The 6,534-nt window shown below is 36.5% G+C and overlaps 1 long non-coding RNA gene across 1 annotated transcript; it reads left to right on the top strand.

Moving 5' to 3' along the window:
* Positions 1-583: 583 nt before the first annotated feature.
* Positions 584-5,971, top strand: LOC107986112 (uncharacterized). The gene is made up of 3 exons (XR_001740840.1): positions 584-665; positions 3,790-4,093; positions 5,331-5,971. It is a non-coding gene; the product is annotated as an uncharacterized LOC107986112 (long non-coding RNA).
* Positions 5,972-6,534: the final 563 nt, after the last annotated feature.

The raw sequence follows: 6,534 nt of genomic DNA, 5'->3' as shown, positions 1-6,534 counted from the left end.
TTGTTTTGCTTGATGCCTCTGCAGAGTGGAAGGTGAAAAGTCAGTAGCAAACTATTTTGGAAACTAGAGAAAAAAGCACTTCAGAAAGAAAATACAATCAATATTTTCAAATGCCGTAAAAAGTTTTATGGAAAGTATTGAAAAGTAGCCATTAGATGTAATACTGAAAGGGCATTAGTAGCCTTATAAAGAGCTGTTTCAGTAATGTTCTGGGGGGAAGACATAATCTGTAGAGCAATGAAATTAAAATAGATTCAGTAATAACTTAGTTGTGAAATACTGTAGACACTGATACAGAGAATGTAGACAAAAATATCCAAGTATCAACCAAAAAGAGTGAAAAGAAGCAATAGATAGAGAAAGATGAAGGAATAAAAATGTTTTTTTCATCTTTTTTTTAATATTAGAGTAACTAGTATATATTTATATGCTGAAAGGAAACGAAGAAAAAAGTGCTGAGGGCTGAAGCTGGCAGGCCCTGCCAGGTGAGGAACAGTGAAGATAGGGCCACAGTCTGTCTACTCCAAAAGAAACTATCAGCAGAGTAAACAGCCTACAGAATGGCAGAAAATATCTTCAAACTATACATCTAATGAAGGTCTAATGTCCTGAATCTATAAAAAAACTTAAGCAATTCAACAAGCAAAACACAACCCCATTAAAAGGTAGGCAAAGGATATGAACAGATGCTTCTCAAAAGATGACATACCTGCAGCCAACAAACATGAAAAATGCTCAGCATTACTAATCATCAAATAAATGCAAATCAAAACCACAATGAGGTACCATCTCACACCAGAGTTGTTATTATTAAAAAGTCAAAAAATAACAGATGCTGGTGAGGCTACATTGAAAAAGAGATCCTTATACACTCTTGGCAGAAATGGAAATTAATTCAGTCACTTTGGCAGGCAGTTTGGAGATTTCTCAAAGAACTCAAAACACAACTACCATTTGGCCTAGCAATCCCATTACTGGGTATATACCCAAAGGAAAATAAATCTTTCTACCCAAAAAGTACATGCATTTGTATGCTCATTGCAGAATTATCCACAGTAGCAAATACATGGAATCAACTAGATGTCCATCAATGGTGGATTGGATTAAGAAAGTATGGTACATATATACCATGCAATTCTATACAGCCACTTAAAAAGAATGAAATTGTGTTATTTTCAGCAACATGTATGCAGCTAGAGGCCTTTATCCAAAGCAAATTAACACGGGACCAGAAAACCAAACACCGCATGTTCTCACTTATAAATGAGAGCTAAGTATTGGGTACACATGGACATAAATATAAGAAAAATAGATAATGGAGACTACTAGAGTGGGGAGAAAGGGAGGGGAGCAATGGCTGAAAAACTGTCGGGTACTGTTTTACTACCTGGTTGACAGAATTAACTGTACCCCAAACCTCAGTATCATGCAATATACCCAGGTAACAAACCTGCAAATGTACCATTTGAATTTAAAACAAAAGTTGAAATTATTTAAAAAACAGAAAAAAAAACCACTAGTGAAAGGAACAGCATGAGAAAGAGGATATTTATCTGAGAGACGGCTTAGCAGATAGGGTGTTAGAACTCATTGAGAAAGTAAAGGGTTAAAACTTTGGTTGCTAGAGGGTCAGGATATATTGAATGCTGAGGAAATAATTCATGAATTTTTTCCAGGACCAGATATAGGCCCAGAATTTTAACGGATATTTTCTCACCTAATTGTTTTTATTTTCCTCCATGCAGAAAAAGGATAGGTGAAGACTTAGTTTAACAATGAGTAAGGGCATGTGTGGAATAGGGTTATTGCGAAGGTTGAAAAAGCTGTCTGGGTGCATGAGTGATGGAGCTAACTAGAGCCACTGTGGCAAGCAGAATTCCAGATATAGCTTCCTTATGATCTCTTTGCTCTGGTTATAAAATCAAATATGAATCTTGGTACTACCGTGAAGGGATTTTGCAGATATAATTAAAGTCCAAGTCAGTTAACCTTAAGATATGGAGATTATTTGAATGGGCCTGGTTTAATGAGATGAGCCTTTGAAAACTAGAGAGTTTTCTGAGCTGGTGGCAGAAGAGGAAGTCACAGATATCTGAAAGCATGAGAAAGTTTCAGCATGTCATTACTGACTGTGCAGATGAAAGGGGCCACATGAAGAGAAATGCAGGTGATCTCTAAAAGCTGAGTCACTTCAAGCAAATAGCCAGCAAGAAAGTGAGGTTTCAGTCCTATAACTGCCACCAGCAGGCTTCTTCGAACAATTTGAATAAACTTGGAAGCATTTTTTTTTCTCAAAGCCTTTAGTTCAGAAACCAGGTTGGGCTTTATGAGACTCTAAGCAGAGAACTCAACCAAGCCAGCCTGAACTTCTAATGACCAGAACTATGAGATAATACGTGGGTACTGTTTTTAGTGATTAAGTTTGTAGTAATTCATTACAAAGTTTGTAGTAATTCACTACACAACAATAAATAACTAACGCAGCCATATTATGGTGTTTCTAAGATGAAGTTGAGGTCCATAGATCTATATTTATCTCAGAAAAATGGTTTTATCTGGGATCCTTCATCCGCAAATCAGTAACAGTGGGGAGCTGGATTGATTCAGACTTTAAGAAGTGGAATAAGTGGAAAGAAAGCAGGACAAGGTGAAGAGGTCAAGAAACACTACAATGATGGAGTTTGATTTGATGCCGGCTAGAGAAAGAATACGAGTTAAAAGTGAAATGGTATAGAGTAAAGGAGAATGACATTTTAAAGGACTTTTGCTCCATAAATCAGTCTATGTTCAGAGCAGGATAATGAGAGTGAGAATTCTGGGAAAAAGAAAAAACAGAGTGCTTACTACTCTTCAAGAGTTCAGAAATGAAACAATTTTTTGTGTGGCTATAGATTTAAAAAGCTGGTGAAGAGTAGAGGGGAGGTGGCCTGGGCTTATGAAGTTAAAACATCACAAGGCTTACATGCTGTAAGACAAGGATCCTAAAGTCTCCTGGTGGTTAGGGAAGAAGACAATGGTACAAGTGATGAAGTGGTGAAGAATATTTCCAGCTTCAGGAAAGAAGGTGGCATAGCCTAATGACATGACTTTAAAAGAAAAAAATTTATTGGAAAAGTGAAAGAGTAGTGATTTATACATGGTATAGGAAGCTGGAAAGGTGGTGTTTCTAACTTTGGGCTTTTAGATGAATGAGACAGAGAAGAAGGAGTAGCCTCTACTCAAGAGTATTACCGGAAAAGAATGTCGTCCTCAAAAGAGACTTGGGTTTCATTTAACACAAGAAATGAAGGAAAGTATTCTATGAAGCGTCTGAGGGTATTATAGAAAAAAGGCTTCAGAAGGCTAGAAGAAAATAAAATGTAAAATTAAATGGTATTCAAAATGCTTTTCCTTTTATAAGCAAATTTATGTAAATTCTCATTTCAAAGGAAAGAAGGATGGAAAGTAGGAGAGAGAGAGAGAAGGAAGAAAAGAAAGAAAGAAAATATCCAAACTTTTGACTTGGAATTAGTAATAATCCAAATGGAAAATAATTTTGCAGTAGATCCCTTCAGATATAGACAAAGACAAACTTGCCGTGGTAGTTTTAAAATATGTCCATAAATTATTTGATACTCCTTTCTTGAAAAGGTAGAAACTCAGTCTCACTCCACTTGGGCATGAGCTACACTTAATGACTTGTTCCTAAGAAATAATCTATGGCAGACATAATGATGCATGACTTCTAAGACTATGTCATAATAGAAGGCATTGTGGCTTCTTTTATTGTTTTTGCTTTTCTGGAAGAAGCAAGGCGCATCTTACATGGCAGCAGGAGAGAAAAGAGGGAGGAGGGACCTACCAAACACTTTTCTCTTGTTCTGGAAGAACACTTCTTGTTTGTTTTCACTTGTTTTGGAAGAAGACGGCTGCCATGTCATGAGGACACTCAAGAAACCCTGTGAAGAGGTTTCTGTGTTGAGAAACTGAGGCCTCCAACCAGCAGCCATGTGAGCAAGCCATCTTTTAATCCAATCCTCTAGCCCAAATTAAGTTCCCAGATGGGTGCAGTCATAGCCAACAGCTTGAATCCAACACCAGGAGAGAAACAAAGGTACAAACACCCAGCTAAACTGCTTTCAAATTCTTAACACAAAAATTTAAGCATGGCTATAGATATCAAAAACAGCTTGAGATAATTACATTTGTTCTAATCTTTAAGTTTGGGGTTGTTACAAAGCAATAGATAACTAATACAGTTGAAAAAGGTACATGGTGATACTTTCTGGTGTCCAAAGTCAGTGCACCCTTGGGAGGAAAAAAAATCCACAGGCCAATTAGTCTGTGTATCCAACAAAATCATTAAGAAGGTTATTCCTCATCAAATCTCATCTTTGAATGATGACTTCTAAAGCTCTCCACTCACCACAATCTGCCGATCAAATCTGTATCACTGGCACACTATACAGAACTCCACTGCTAAATTTATCTTCTCATTAGGTCAGTCTTGTAAATGTGCTTATAAATTTATAATGGCTCATTGTAGCCTCTTGCACTGAGTTTCAACATTTCTTTCTGATTGAAAGCCTCTCAATTTCTAATGCCCTCTCAACCCATCTTGGCCTGTTTAGATTTATTTTCTATTATTTCTAATACTAATCCTATAAACCAACACAGGTCACCAGATTGACATATCAAGGCTTTTGTCAATTCTATCCCACCCATATCTCCTGTTCTAGCTCATTCAACCAACCCCACTAACATCTATGACTGAGCTATTCCTCAAGGCTCACCTCAAGTTCCTGCTTCTTCAGAAGACTTTTCCAACAACATCTATCCAGAAAAATCTCTCAAGTCAAATTTCTATTTCATTTAGTAATGGTGTATTATAAAACAATAATAACACATAATTGGATACTGTCCTGCCTCTAGTGGTTTGTACTGTACCACTTGACATTTAACTATGTCAGTCAGTGCAATGATGCACTGGCATATACTGTATTGCTTTGTTCACACATTGTTTCACAGGTGTCTGTTCCCTAATTATATTATAAATTCTTTTACTGAGAGTGATAAAACACACTTTTCTTCTCTATATTTTCCACATCATCTCAGTTAGGTATATATAAGTCAAGCAATTGCTATGCTGTTACTCTATATTGGGTATTTCAGAGACTATTATTTTTCTCTTCTGTGCCAAGGAACAGAACTAAACATTTTTCGAACTCCTTGCATTTAGATGGGGCTCTGTAACTCACTTCTGGCCAGTAGAAGCAATATATGCCACTTCCAGATATGGTTTATGAAAATCTCACACACAAAACTTTTTACTCTGTCTTCTATTTTTGCAGCAATCTGAAAGGTCATTTAAAGGTGATACGGCATCAAGAACTGCATCTCTGAGTCACCACTTAGAGGAAACACACCCTGCAATGTCACCCAAGCATCTGCCTTCCCAGTAATATCTGCACTGGATTAATCTGTGGGCAAGAAGGGAACTTTTATTCTGTAAAGCTCCTGAGATTTTGATGTTATTTGTTACAGCTGTTAGCATCAGTTATTTCATTCAGAGATGGAACATGAAAATAAATAAGGCCCTACACTTGAGGAACTCAAAGTGTAGTTAGGTAATTGGGTTTAAAGAAAAAAAATATGTTTTCAGGTTTCCTGTTTCTAAACTCTAATTTACCATTTTAGTAACCTGAGTAATTCTCAAAATAGAAAAAAACCACAATCAATGATTTTTGTATATTTGTTTTATGGCAAATGTGGTCCTACATATCAATCAGAACTACACATGTATCCCAAAAATTGATACAAGTAGTCATTAAGCTTTATTAAAATTTATCAGTAGAAATATTTGTTTTTATTTGGTAAATGTGACTTGATTTCACCATAAAAAATCAAATAGTCTTTTCATGTTTATTAATATTCATATAAATGCCTATCTGTGTAAATGTGCTCTTGCCTTGCTATAAAAAAAATACATGAGACTGGGAAATTTATAAAAAGAGGTTGAATTGGCTCACAGTTCTGCAGGCTGTACTAGCATGGTTCTAACATCTGCTTCTGGTGAGGGCCTCAGGAGGCTTACAGTCATGGTGGAAGGGAAGGGAAGCCAGCATATCACATGGTGAAGGGAACAAGAGAGAGAAGGGAGAGGTCCCAGACTTTTAAACAACCAGATCTAAGTGAGTGAGAACTCAGTTATTACCAAGGGAATGGTGCTTAGTTATTCATGAGGAATCTACCTCCCTGATCCAATCACCTCCCACCAGACCTCACCTCCAATATTGGGAATCATATTGCAACATGAGATTTGGAGGGGACACACATCCAAACCACGCTATCCGTGTATACATAGTATGTTGTGAAAATAAAGTAAATGATACTGCGGAACACAGATTTTCATGGTGATTTTCCTATTCTGTTAACTGTCTATTTATATTAAATGATTATGTAGAAAATGATTTGGCTTGTAAAAATATTAAGTATTGTATTAGTCCATTTTCACACTACTATAAATAACTGCCTGAAACGGGGTAATTTATGAAG

The sequence above is a fragment of the Homo sapiens genome, chromosome 3 (genome assembly GCF_000001405.40).
Source record: "Homo sapiens chromosome 3, GRCh38.p14 Primary Assembly".
NCBI lineage: Eukaryota > Metazoa > Chordata > Mammalia > Primates > Hominidae > Homo > Homo sapiens.
Note: the sequence above shows the minus strand (reverse complement) of the source record. Positions and strands in the feature narration are given on the sequence as shown.